A 13,953-nucleotide genomic window follows, 5' to 3' on the forward strand; every position below is an offset into this window, starting at 1 on the left:
GATCCACCTGCCTCGGCCTCCCAAAGTGCTGGGATTACAGGCATGAGCTACCATGCCCAGCCACCAAATTTCATTTTTTAGAATCATAAGCAGTATTGTGCTTTAACTCCCAAATATTGTATTCTTTAAAACAGGGTCTTAAACTAGAGTTATGAGATTTTCATCAGGTTCTTACAGTTCTATGACCCAAAAAAGTTAAGCAGGACACTTTATAAAGAGCATTAACAAGTTGCATTTTGGGCCAGGAGCAGTGGCACACACCTGTAATCCCAGAGTTTTGGGAGGCCAAGGCAGGAGGATCACTTAAACCTGTTCAAGGCTTCAGTGAGTCGTAATGAGCCACTGCACTCCATCCTGGGTGACACAGCAAGACCCTGTTGCTTAAAAAGAAGTTACTTTTTGAATATTCTTGATACTGTGACATACCTCATCAAATATTTAAAAGGAGATCCTGGTAGTAAAATGGTAACATCATGAGTCACATGTAGTTAAGTGGACTTGTTGCAAGTAATTTGCTACTAATAATAAAGTATCCAAGTTTTAAAAATATTAACATTTTATTAATTAAAGAAGGGTCTGTGTATCCCAGCTGTAATCTTGCCATCCTGTATGTTTTCTTTCATGAGAAAATTTAGAGTGGAATTACTGGCCTTGCATTTGGAATCTCATGGAAATGTTTTGTATTTATAGAGATCATCCTCTATTTGTATATTTTTAATTTAGAAAAATGTGCCATGGAAAATTTTTAACCCTTAAGTTTGAAATCTGAACTTTAGGTCCACAGACTAGAGTTGCATCTTACACAGTGGTTAGGTTTTAAGTCAGCACGTGAGGCGAACAGTGTAAGTAGTCAGAGTTTCCCTTGAAAATCCTTTAGAAAGGCTCTACATTGAAGGCTGACAGAGTCTCAGTCCAACAGAATGTCATTCTAGTGCAGCTAGATTTTTCTCTCCACCACCAGATGAAGTCATTGGCCTTGTTCAGGAACCATGATTTTATTTCATTTTTTAAATTACCTTAGCTACAAACGTCAGAATCACACTTGTGTAACGAGTTGCCCACACTGAGAGAGACACAGAAACTATCTGGGGAGAAGAGATTTATATCTCCTGTCCCACTCACTCCAAGGTATAGGTTCTTAGAGTGGAATGAGTGGCAGGTGGAACACCCAGAATAATTAACCCACACCCCGCCAAATGGCCACGAGTACCCTTTACATGAACTCATGGGCGAGGGTGTGTATGTGTTTGGGTGTGCGTGTGGTGCCTCTCCATTGTATCTTAGGCCCAATAAAGGAGGATTTGAAAGAGAGGATCCTTAGAACACTTAAGACATTAGGAGATAAAAAGCTGATACTAAATTAGTAAAGGAGATCCAGCACCCACAACATACTTCTTTACCATCTCTAAACAGGACTGGCTTCACCAGAAGAATACTAAAATAGTGTTTTTAGTTTGGTTTGCTATTTCAATGAAAAACTTTAAAATAAAGGTCTTGCTGCTATTTGTCTGATAAAGGTCAAATGATTTCACCCTATCCTCCTTCACCACAATTTTTATTTTTTAAAAAGCTTATATTGCCTTTTTGGGTGCCACAACTTCTATTTTGGAAAATGTATAAGGAATAGAAAATAATTCATATTAGTTTTCTCTTGTGGCATAAAAAATTATCACAAGCTTAGCAATTTAAAACAACATCCATTTACTGTCTCACAGTTGTGTAGATCAAAGTCCTTCTGGAGGACTCAACTCGGTTCTCTGCTCAGGGTCTCGCAAGACTGAAATCAAGGCGTCCAGTAGAGCCAGGTTCTCATCCGAGGCTCAAGCTCATTCAAGTTGTTGGCAGCTTTCAGTCTCTTATAGTTGTAGAACTCATAGCAATTTGTTTTCTTCAAATTCGAGACCAGCCAGAGACTGTCATGCCTTCTTGTCTCATTTTATTTGTGTGTTTCTTAATGTTGGTTCGATGCAAGGGTTTTCTTTGTTTTGTTTTTGTTTATGTTTTTGTTTTGAGACACTTTTACTCATGTTGCCCAGGCTGGAGGGCAATGGCACCATCTTAGCTCACTGCAACCTCCGCCTTCCAGGTTCAAGTGATTCTCATGCCTCAGCCTCCCCAGTAGCTGGGACTACAGGCACATGCCACCATGCCTGGCTAATTTTTCTGTTTTTAGAAGAGATGGGGTTTCACCATATTGGCCAGGCTGTCTTGAACTGCTGACCTCAGGTGATCTGCCCGCCTTGGCCTCCCAAAGTGCTGGGATTACAGGTGTGAGCCACTGCGCCCAGCCAATGTGGTTTCTATTCATGTGAAATTTGTTCAGGAAACTCTTTTAAGATTTTATTTTTTTGCAGCAGCAGCTTTAGGTTAGCAAAATTGAGAGGAAAGTACAGAGGTAACCCATATATCCCCCGTCCCACACATGCACAGCCTTCCACACTGTCACCATCCCCCACCAGACTAGTACATTTGTTACAACTGATGAACCTACATTGACACATCATTATCACCCAGAGTCCATAGTTTACATTGGGGCTCCCTCTTACATTGGTATTGTCCATTCTGTGGGTTTGGACAAATGTATCATGACACGTATCCGCCATCACAGTCTCAGGCAGAGTATTTTCACTGCCCTAAAAATCCTGTGGTCCACCTATTCATTACCTCCCTGGCAGCCACTGACCTTTTTATTGTCTCCATAGTTTTGCCTTTTCCAGAATGCCACATAGTTGGAATCATACAGTATCTGGCCTTTTCAGATTGGTTTCTTGCACTTAGTAATATGTCCTTAAATTTCCTCCATGTCTTTCCATGGCTCGACCCTTTCTTTTTTTCCTGTTAGCACTGAATAATATTCCATTGTCTAGATATACTACTACAATTTATTCATTCACTGATTGTAAGACGTCTTGGTTGCTGTCAAGTTTTGGCAATTATGAATGAAGCTGCTATAAACTTCCAAGTGCAGGTTTTTGTGTGGACATCAGTTTTCAACTCCTTTGGGTAAATACCAAGGAGCACAGCTGATGGATTATATGTTAAGAATGTTTAGTTTTGTAAGAACCACCAAACTGTTTTCCAAAGTGGCTGTACCATGGGATCTCAGCCCCATTCGTACAAGGATCTTGGCCTGTCTCATTTGCCATTGAGTTCCCAATACCTTCAATATATCTTGCCTGAAAGAATGAGTGACTGAATATTCTTAGGAATGAGTCTACCCAAGAAATGTCATTAAACCCCTTCCAAACCACCACCTGGGGTCTGGGGCTTTTAAATTTTATGTATTTTTTTTTAATATTATTTTTTTTTAAGATGGGGTCTCACTGTGTCACCCAGGCTGGAGTGCAGAGGTGCAATCCTAGCTCACTACAGCCTCAAACTCCTGGGCTCAATTGATTATCCCACCTCGGCCTCCTGAGTAGCTGGGGCTACAAGCATGCACCACCACACCCAGCTAATTTTTTAATTTTTTGTAAAGTTGGAGTCTCACTGTGGCAGCATAGCAAGACTGCATCTCTACAAAAAAAAAAAAAAAAAAAATTAGCCAGGCATGGTGGCACGCACTCGTAGTCTTAACTACTCAGGAGGCTGAAGCCAGGGAAACAGTTGAATCCAGGAATTCAAGACTGTAGTGAGCTATGATCGCACCACTGCACTCCAGCCTGCATGACAGAGTGAGATCTTGTCTTAAAAGAAAAGAGAGAGAGATTTTTGGATAATAGTTCTTAATCAGCTATGCCCCTTGTAAATATTTTCTCACAGTCTATGGATTGTCTTTTTTTTTTTTTTTTTTTTTTTTTTTTTTTGAGACGGAGTTTCACTCTTGTTGTCTAAGCTGGAGTGCAATGGCACAATCTCGGCTCACCGCAACCTCTGTCTCCTGGGTTTTCAAGCAATTCTCCTGCCTCAGCCTCCCGAGTAGCTGCAATTACAGGCATGTGCCACCACACCCGGCTAATTTTGTATTTTTAGTAGAGACAGGGTTTCTCCATGTTGGTCTCGAACTCCCGACCTCAGATGATCCGCCCACCTCGGCCTCCCAAAGTGCTGGGATTACAGGCGTGAGCCACTGCGCCCGGTGTCTTTTTATTTTTTTAAGTGTCTTTTGCAGAGCAGTTTTTAATTTTAATGAACCCCAGTTTATCAGTTCCTTCTTCCATGGATTATGTCTTTGGTTTCTGTTTCTGAAAAGTAATTGCCAAGCTCAAGATCATCTCCTGTGTTACTGTCTGGGAGTTTTATAGTTTTGTACTTTACATTTAGGTCTGAGACTTATTTTGAGTTAATTTGTGAAGGGGGTGAGGTCTGTGTCTAGATTCCTTTTTTTTTTTTTTTTTTTTTTGGCATGTGGATATCCAATTGTCCCAGCATCATTTGTTGAAAATACTATCTTTTCTTCATTGTATTGTCCTTGCTCCTTTGTCAAAGATTCGTTGACTTTATTTAGGTAGATTTGTTTCTGGGCCCTCTGTTCTGTTCCATTGATGTATTTGTGTATTCTTTCGCTAATGCCACACTGTCTTGGTTATTGTAGCTTAATAGTAATATTGAAGTAGGGTAGTGTCAGTCCTTCAGCTTTGTTCTTCATCAATACTGCCTTGTCCATTCTGGGTCTGTGGCCTCTTCATAAAAACTTTAGAATCAGTTGATGTCTTCAAAATAGCTTGCTGGGCTTGTTGTCTCTTTTTTGTGCTCACCTGCTATGGTCAGGCCCAGTCAGGATAATCTCCCTTTTGACTAACTCAGAGTCAACTCACTAGAGACCTTAAGTGCATCTGCAAAATCCCCTTGCCATATAACGTAATATGACCATGTCTTGCCCACCCTTACGGGAATGCAAACCCAGGAGCAGGGGTCTTGGGGGCCATCTTATAATTCTGCTTACCACAAAAATAACATTGAGTACCTACTGAAGTGCCACACACCAATGGAGTAATTCCCACCTTTGAGTTAAATGGTATTATCCAAGTTTTGTAGGGAAACGAAATGTCAGGAAAATGAAGCAATTCACGTAACGAGTAAATAGCGTGGTCAGGATTCTAATGCAGATTCGCTGGTCTTCAAAGCCATTTTGCCACACTATCTCTAATAAATCCTGTCACATCTTCCTCCTTCTCAGTTTATTTGCTTTTCTCCCAACCCACTGTCTTGATTGTGGGCCATCATCATTCATCCCTTCCCCGCACTCCTGCAGCAGCCTCCTGATTGGTCTTCCTGCCTTTGCTCTTGTTCTTCTCCAGTTTGTTCTCCATAGTCCTTAAGTGTAACCCTGACTATATAACTTCCTGCTTAAAATACTTGAATGGCATCTTCCGGACAGAATCCATGCACTTTAATATGGGTTACATGGCCTCAGTTGATGGGCTCTGCCTGCCTTTCTAACATCATCTCTTACCTCTCTCTTCTTTGGTGAATGTGCCCCCATGTTGTTTCCTCTGCCTAGAACACTCTTAACCACCCTTCATCTGCCTACATCTACCCAACTCTCTGGTTTAGATTAAATGTCACTTCCTCCAGAAGGCTTTCTTTGACTCCCTAACTTGGGAAGGCACTCCTACTACATGTTCCCATAGCACCCAATGCTTTCCCTATAATAGCACTGTGTTTTATTAGAATGACATATTTAACTGCCTCATTTGTTAGATTCTGCATCTGATCCTTATCTGTATTCCCAGTGTCTGGCACATATGGATACTCAGTAAATATTATTAATAAATGAATAGTAGAATACTTTAATGGGTTACTTTTTTTCTACTACCTTTGAAATCTTAGTCTCTGCTTTTCCTTCATTGCCATTGAAATACTTTTACTATCACATATTAGAAAAGCTATCCACTTCCCATGTGTTTTATTCAGGATCCAATAATTAGTATATGGTGAAGCTGAGACAAGATTGTGGGTCTTTAAACTGTAAATTTCATGTGTTTTCCACTATTTTATGCAGCTTAACTTCCTTAGAATTAGATCTAGGCTTCAAAAGCTTATCCTCCTAACTACTTGCTCTACCACCACCCAGCACAGGTACTCAATAAACGCTAATCTAGTTTCTACATAATCGAATAAAGTCCTTTATAAGAGTTATGAAGGAAACCCTTTTCTTCAGTATGTGAATTTGGATCTATAGTATATTGGCCAAGAATTGTGATTAGTGTGACAGCTATAGTTAGCCTTATAGAATAGGAACATTAACCTTTTACAGTATTGTGTTTGAGAAAACGTTGTTAAACACCTTCCTTGTAAGTTTTATAATATGGCCAAACAAGCTGTGAAATCTCTCAAGCATATATACTTTCTAATGTTCTCAGTATTTAATAGTGAGATTGATTGTACAGTTGGGAAAGATTTGGCAGTGTGTAGACTTCCACAAATTTTTCTTTCATCATGTATTCTAGCAAATGTCAGGCATATAGATAAGCCATTATTAAAATATTAGTATGAAATTTAACAAACATACCACAAATTTTATCTCCAAATAAGTGCAATCTCATTCAAAGCAGTTACCTTGGAAGGTGTTCTAGGAATGTTTCTATTCATCAAATGATTTCAGAATCGCTTTTGGAATTAAAGTTGGAGTCATCACATAAGCTTTTTATTGCCATCAGCCTCGGTCTTTGTCCTTTGAGGGTCGTTATTTTATGGGAACAACATGAAGAACTAAGGCAGCTAGGCAGAGTGCACGATCGAGCTTTGTTTAAAGCAAGATACAACTCTGAAGTTACGAGACAGGACTGTGTGGCTGGTTTGGTTTTCATCACAAAACCTGACTCTTAAGGCAAACAAAAGCCCCCAAGGGCTTTTAAAGCACCATACATTCATGTCATATTTTTTGTTGTTGTTGAAACGGAGTCTCGCTCTGTCGCCCAGGCTGGAGTGCAGTGGTGCAATCTCGGCTTACTGCAAGCTCCACCTCCCGGGTTCACACCATTCTCCTGCCTCAGCCTCCCGAGTAGCTGGGACTACAGGCGCCCACCACCATGCCCGGCTAATTTTTTATATTTTTAGTAGAGACGGGGTTTCACCGTGTTAGCCAGGATGACCTCGTGATCTGCCCGCCTTGGCCTCCCAAAGTGCTGGATTACAGGTGTGAGCTACCCCACCCGGCCACATTCATGTCATTTTAATAACTGTAGGGCCAAAAAGGACTAGGAGTAGATGAAAGACGGAGAATCATATTTTGATGCTTCCAGATGAGTTTTGGAGGAAAGCCATACTGAAAATATTTGTTTGTTAGATTAAGATTATTAAGTGATAACTCTTTCTTTATTTTAAATAGTTAACTTTTTCTGTAAGGGAGCAACATATGTTCTTTCTTGGGCCCATAATGCATGGCCCTGAAAGTCAGGGCTACCTGGGTTGTGGTTATAACTGCCAGGGTCTGGTATTATTACTAGCTTAGTGGTGGTACCCTCAGCAAGTTACAGTTTCTCTGACTTTATTTTTTCCCATGCTCACAATGAGAAATTTGGATAGATGAATCTAATTGCATGTCTCTTTCTAGATAGGAAAAACTTAACTTTTTCCCCTTAGACCACGTATAATTGTGAAATGGAATGCATAGAAATATAATCTTCTGTTTTATATATTTCTTGTTGAACTGACTTTAAAAATAATTTGATTTTGTTTCTCAAAAATCATATATTCCTTTTGGCATTGTCAGAATATAGTGAAGAACAAACATGCCTCAGGTAGTACAGAGCTGTTTGTTGAAGTGAAGGCGTTGCATCTGACAGTGACTACCAAAGAATTGTCTTCAGTTATTTGTTCACTTCTCACCTTGAACCCAAAGAATGTGAACAATCAAATAATGAGAAGCTACAAATGACAATAAAAGCAGGATGAGGGAAATTACAAGATTAGAAATCAAAACCAGAGAAGCAAAAAGAACATAGATTTGGCTTTTGGGTTTCTGGCTCCAAAGTTTAAAAGGAAATTATGTGGTTCAGATTTTCAAAGATGAGAAAAATAGACACCCCAGGAGTGGTAAAGATTCTCTTAGCACTTAATTCTGAAAGAAATGTGTAACATGGGATTGTATATAGGGAGAAGGAAGGTCTTTACAAGTAATTTAGCATGTGGTTTTTACCTACTAAAATTAAAACTGATGTTCATCTCTGAGTGGTAAGTAACATGGATTAAAAATGTATTTTCCTGGCCAGGCATGGTGGCTCAAGCCTGTAATCCCAGCACTTTGGGAGGCTGAGGTGGGCAGATCGCCTGAGGTCAGGAGTTCGAGACCAGCCTGGCCAACATGGTGAAACCCCATCTCTACTAAAAATACAAAAATTACCCGGGTGTGGTGGCAGGCACCTGTAATCTCAGCTACTCAGAAGGCTGAGGCAGGAGAATCGCTTGAACCCAGGAGGCGGAAGTTATAGTGAGCCAAGATTGCGCCACTGCACTCCAGCCTGGGCGACAGAGTGAGACTGTATCTCAAAAAATATATATATATATATTATCCTGTTTAGGAAAGCTGGTTAGTAGTTTGGAACTCTTCCCTTGATGAAAAAGTTTAGGTATCCTTCTATTTTATTACTATGGATTCAGGGTTACTAAACCTGGGTTCTAATCAAGTCTTACCCTGTTGTATCTTCTATGCGGCATTAGCCAAAAAAGAAGAACATGTCGGCCTACCAGGTGTTCTGTAAAGAGTATCGCGTGACCATTGTGGCTGACCATCCAGGTATAGGTAAGAACATTACTGATCTGTAGCGCTTTTGCTTTCCATTTATATCTTGAAGCAGTGCGATTAATTTCTTCTTCCTGTAGCATTAGAGCATAAATCTTGTTTCTTTCCTCAGTTCTGCAAATCACTTTAGATTTTGCCTTAGTTTATCTCATCTGTAAAAGAGATGAACTTTCTATACATATCTCTTAAACGGATAAGGTGGGAAACTATGTAAAAATAAATGTTGTAAAGCACATACATAAATGCACAAAAATATACAATTGTTTATTTCCAAGATTCTACAATTGGCCTTTTCCTTAAATTGCCCTTGGATGTAAAGTTATAATGAGATATCTTGTATTATATTGTTGTAAAGATGCTCTTCAACTTATGATAGTGTTACATCCTGATAAACCCATTGAAAATTGAAAATACTGTAAGTCAAAAATGCATTTAATACACCTAGCCTACAGAACATCACAGCTTAGCTGAGCCCACCTTAAATGTGCTCAAGACACTTACATTTGCATACACTTGGGCAAAGTCATTTAACACAAAGCCTGTTTTATAATAAAGTGTTGAATATCTTATGTAATGTATTGAATACTGTACTGAAAGTGAAAAACAGAATGGCTGTATGGGTACTAGAAGTACAGTTTTTACTGAGTGCATATTGCTTTTGCATCCTTATAAAGTTGAAAAATCAAAAGTCAAACCATCATAAGTCAGGGACTGTATTTGTCTCTGTATTAGAAGTTAATGAGGTAAGAAAAACACTATACCAGAGATCCTGGACACATGTCACTTAACCGCTACAAATTTCATTTGCCTAATGTGTAAAATCGCTGCCCTACCAACTCCAAAAGACTGCAGTGTTAGGCACACATGAATATGCTTTATAAAGCATAAAACTCTTATACAATGGAAGGGTAAGATTACACATCTAGAGGATTGCTTCTGAGCTGCTCTAGGGAAATCCTTCTTTGGTTCTAATCATTCAGAAATTTGGTAAAAACCTAACATCTTTTTTCAAATTCTACACATATTTTTTAACCTAAGTTGATAGGCCTTGTATTGTGGGATCAAATTAAAGACACCAGAGGCAGGATGCAGTGGCTCATGCCTATAATCTCAGCACTTTGGGAGGCTGAAGCAGGAGAATTGCTGGAGCCCAGGAGTTTGAGAGCAGCTTGGGCAACATAACGAGACCTCATCTCTACAAATAATAATTTTAAAAAATAGCTGGGCGTGGTGGCTCACGCCTGTAATCCCAACACTTTGGGAGGCCGAGGTGGGTGGATCACCTGAGGTCAGGAGTTCGAGACCAGCCTGGCCAACATGGTGAAACCCCGTCTCTACTAAAAATACAAAAATTAGCCAAGCATTGTGGTGCACGCCTGTGATCCCAGCTACTCCGGAGGCTGAGGCAGGAGAATCACTTGAACCTAGGAGGCAGAGGTTGCAGTGAGTTGAGATCACGCCACTTCACTCCAGCCTGGGCGACAGAGCGAGACTCCGTCTCAAAAAAAAGAAAAAAGAAAAAAATTTTAAAAAATTAGCTAGGCATGGTAGCCCACGCCTGTGGTCCCGCTACTTGGGAGGCAGAGGTGAGAGGGTGGTTTGAGCCCAGGTGGTTGAGGCTGCTGTGAGCCATGATCACACCACTGCAATCCAGCCTGAGCAACAGAGCCAGACTCAGTCTCAAAAAAAGACACCAGAAAGATGCTTAAGGAATAAATCCCTAGGGAGTAGATGGGTTACGAGTTGAGACTGTCTCCTGACCATCAAAACATCCCCTTCCCTATAGAAAAAAATCAAAGAAGAGTGATGGGATTGGGGTTGGTTTTCTGAAAGCATCTTGCAACATTTAAATATGAGCTTCAAAACCCTTTTCCAGTTTTTGCTTTCACCAATCTTCTATTTTGTTAATAGCTAACCCTTTACTGTATTGAGTGTTTTACTCTTTTATGCCAGATTTTGGGGAACTTAGTAAAAAACTGGCTGAGGTGTGGAAGCAATTACCAGAAAAAGACAAACTGGTAAGTACATTTTCTTACAAACATATTTTTCAGTGCTTCTCGCCTTCCAAAATATGTAATTCTTCCATAGACTAGCCAGCCAGACAGCACTGAAAATAGTGAAGAAAATTACAAATCAACAGAAAATGGTTTAGCAGAGGACATTAACACTGTTAGTGCCAGTTCACTGTACATGAGGATTTAGCTATAGCAAGGCTGTCTTTTCTAACCTGGTCTGTTTTTTCCAGCAGTGTTACATTTGAGCCAAAAGATGACCTAAGTTGAGGAGTAATTAAAGTGTTAAAAGAAAGTCTAAAATCAGAGCCCTTTACTGCAAACACCTAGTAATCAGTCATGGTCTGAGAACTGAGGAAAGTTATCCACTTAGCAGTCACTGCAAACAATAAAAATATGAGAATGTGATTACTAGGTAACCAGGTTCAAGGTCATCATCCTCATCAACCATTACCAAATAATGTACTCTACTATCAAGAAGGTAGTAAGACACTGATAAACAGTCATATCTGGGCTGGGCACGGTGGCTCACGCCTGTAGTTCCAGCACTTTGGGAGGCTGAGGCGGTGGATCACCTGAGGTCAGGAGTTCGAGACAAGCCTGGCTAACATGGTGAAACCCCATTTCTACTAAAAATACAAAAAATTAGCCAGGCATGGTGGCGCATGCCCGTAATCCCAGCTACTCGCGAGGCTGAGGCAGGAGAATCACTTGAACCCCGGAGGCGGAGGTTGCAGTGAGCCAAGATCACACCATTGCACTCCAGCTTTGGGCAACAAGAACAAAACTCCATCTCAAAAAAAAAAAAAAAAAAAAAGTCATATCTGAATCATTGAGACTTATGATATGAAGGTCATATAGGAGCAAGATGTCATCTAGATGAACAGCCATTCTTCACCCAGATTATCCTTAGTTTTTGTTTTCCTTGTTATTGTTATTCTGCTATTGTGTTGGTATTGCCAACTAGCAGGTTAGTAGAACCACATAGACATTATATTGAGCCAGAGGTTTAATCTGTGATTTTACATTTCAACTTAGAGTGATCTAAAAATCAGTGCCGAGATTTGACCATTAGCATTGAGGAATGTTTATAGTCCTTTACTAAGATATTAATGTAGTCAGCTGTCTGAAGTCAGTTCGGTGACCCCCAGCTTAAAAGTTAGCATTAACCCTCTGTCTGCCCGCCTCTTACTATTGCCTTTCTTTTCTCCATTTTGTTCTTTCATGACTGCTTTTCCTTTTACATTTTGTCCTTCTTAATTTAATTTAATGTTCACTGATGTGATTGCAGATTTGGAAGCAAAAAGCTCAGTATCTGCAGCACAAACAGAACAAAGCAGAAGCCACAACTGTGAAAAGGAAAGCATCCAGCTCAGAAGGTTCCATGAAAGTCAAAGGTAGTGACCACATCCCGCCCCTGCTTTTCTCTAAAGCATGTGAATTTTGCTTCCTTGCTAAGAAACTGGGAAAAAAGCTTGCAGTATTAGAAGTGGACCTTGATTCCCAGGTATTATTACCTGGGAATGTTACAAGCTACCAAAAAGAGATGTTCAAATTTAGAAAATGCAAATCAGAAGTCAGCAAACTTTTTCTTTAAAGGTCCAGAGAGTAGACCAGGCGCAGTGGCTCATGCCTGTAATCCTAGCACTTTGGGAGGCCAAGGTGGGCGGATCACCTGAGGTCAGGAGTTCGACACCAGCCTAACCAACATGGAGAAACCCCGTCTCTACTGAAAATACAAAATTAGCCGGGCGTGGTGGCGCATACCTGTAATCCCAGCTACCAGAGAGGCTGAGGCAGGAGAATTGCTTGAACCCGGGAGGTGGAGGTTGCGGTGAGCCGAGATCGTGCCATGGCACTCCAGCCTGGGCAACAAGAGCAAAACTCCATCTCAAAAAAAAAAAGGTCCAGAGAGTAAATATTATAGGCCTTGTGTGCCGTATGCATTCTCGCATTCTCTGTCACATATTCTTTGTTTTTCTATAGCCCTTTAAGAATGTAAAACTATTCCTAACTCACAGGCCATAAAAAACAAGAGACCATAGACTGAATTTAGCCCACAGGCCACAGTTTTGCTAATGCCTGGTATAATTCATAAAAAGGGAAAATCAGGAAGAACAACTTTGTGTTGTTCAAGGCTGTAGGCAAGTTTTACCTGTCTGCCTCATTGCTCTGTTCTCAGCCTCTTCTGTAGGAGTACTGTCACCCCAGAAGAAGTCCCCACCCACCACCATGCTGTTACCAGCCTCACCAGCCAAAGCCCCTGAGACAGAGCCCATTGATGTTGCTGCTCATCTTCAGCTGTTGGGAGAGTCCCTAAGCCTCATTGGACACCGTCTGCAGGAAACTGAGGTGAATACAACTATCAGCAGCATGACTACAGTTTCCCATATAGTTTCCCATATAATTTTGATTCATTCACTCATTTTACATACATGTATTGAGCATCTACTTTATGCTAAATTATGCCAGGTTCTCAGGATGGCGTAACATAGAAGATATAATGATAATAACAGAAATATCTATAGAGATATTCAGTCTACCTGTTAGCTCTCAAAGTTTCACTAATGATATCCTATTGAAACAATGGCACAAAAAGAAATTGGAGTACCCTGTAACTTATTTTTATTTTTTTAAAATGCAGTGGAGGCTGGGCGCAGTGGCTCACGCCTGTAATGCTAATTTGGGAGGCCCACCTGGGAGAATCGCTTAAGGCCAAGAGTTCGAGACTAGCCTGGTCAACACAGTGAGACTCCATCTCAAAAAATACATATATTCAAAAAATTTAAAAGAAATAAAAATGGGGCCGGGCGTGGTGGCTTATGCCTGTAATCCCAGCACTTTGGGAGGCTGAGGCAGGCGGATCACGAGGTCAGGAGTTCAAGACCAGCCTGGCCAATATGGTGAAACCCTGTCTCTACTAAAAATACAAAAATTAGCCAGGTGTGGTGGCATGCACCTGTGGTCCCAGCTACTCGGGAGGCTGAGGCAAGAGAATCACTTGAACCTGGGAGGCAGAGGTTGCAGTGAGTCAAGATTGCGCTACTGTACTCCAGCCTGGGCGATAGAGCAAGACTCCATCACAAAAAAGAAAGAAAGAAAGAAAGAAAAACGCAGTGGTGGCTGGGCACGGTGGCCCATGTCTGTAATCCCAGCAATTTGGGAGACCAAGGCAGGAGGATCGCTTGAGGCCAGGAGTTGGAGAGCAGCCTGGGCAACATAGCGAGACCCCATTTCTACAAAAAATTAAAAAAT

At 40.8% G+C, this 13,953-nt stretch overlaps 1 protein-coding gene across 5 annotated transcripts in view; it reads left to right on the forward strand.

The window, feature by feature from the left end:
* Positions 1–13,953, forward strand: part of HMGXB4 (HMG-box containing 4) — a 54,272-nt gene that overhangs the window by 33,822 nt on the left and 6,497 nt on the right. For all 5 annotated transcript variants that reach the window (NR_027780.2, XM_047441067.1, NM_001003681.3 and 2 more), the window contains 4 exons: positions 8,605–8,686; positions 10,640–10,704; positions 11,990–12,095; positions 12,881–13,050. Coding sequence is in view for 4 of the 5 variants with exons in the window: in XM_047441067.1 (XP_047297023.1) it covers positions 8,605–8,686; positions 10,640–10,704; positions 11,990–12,095; positions 12,881–13,050 (423 nt within the window). In the remaining variant the exon portion in view is untranslated. The remainder of the gene's footprint in view (positions 1–8,604; positions 8,687–10,639; positions 10,705–11,989; positions 12,096–12,880; positions 13,051–13,953) is intronic.

This window comes from Homo sapiens, chromosome 22, assembly GCF_000001405.40.
Source record: "Homo sapiens chromosome 22, GRCh38.p14 Primary Assembly".
NCBI classification, from domain to species: Eukaryota; Metazoa; Chordata; class Mammalia; order Primates; family Hominidae; genus Homo; species Homo sapiens.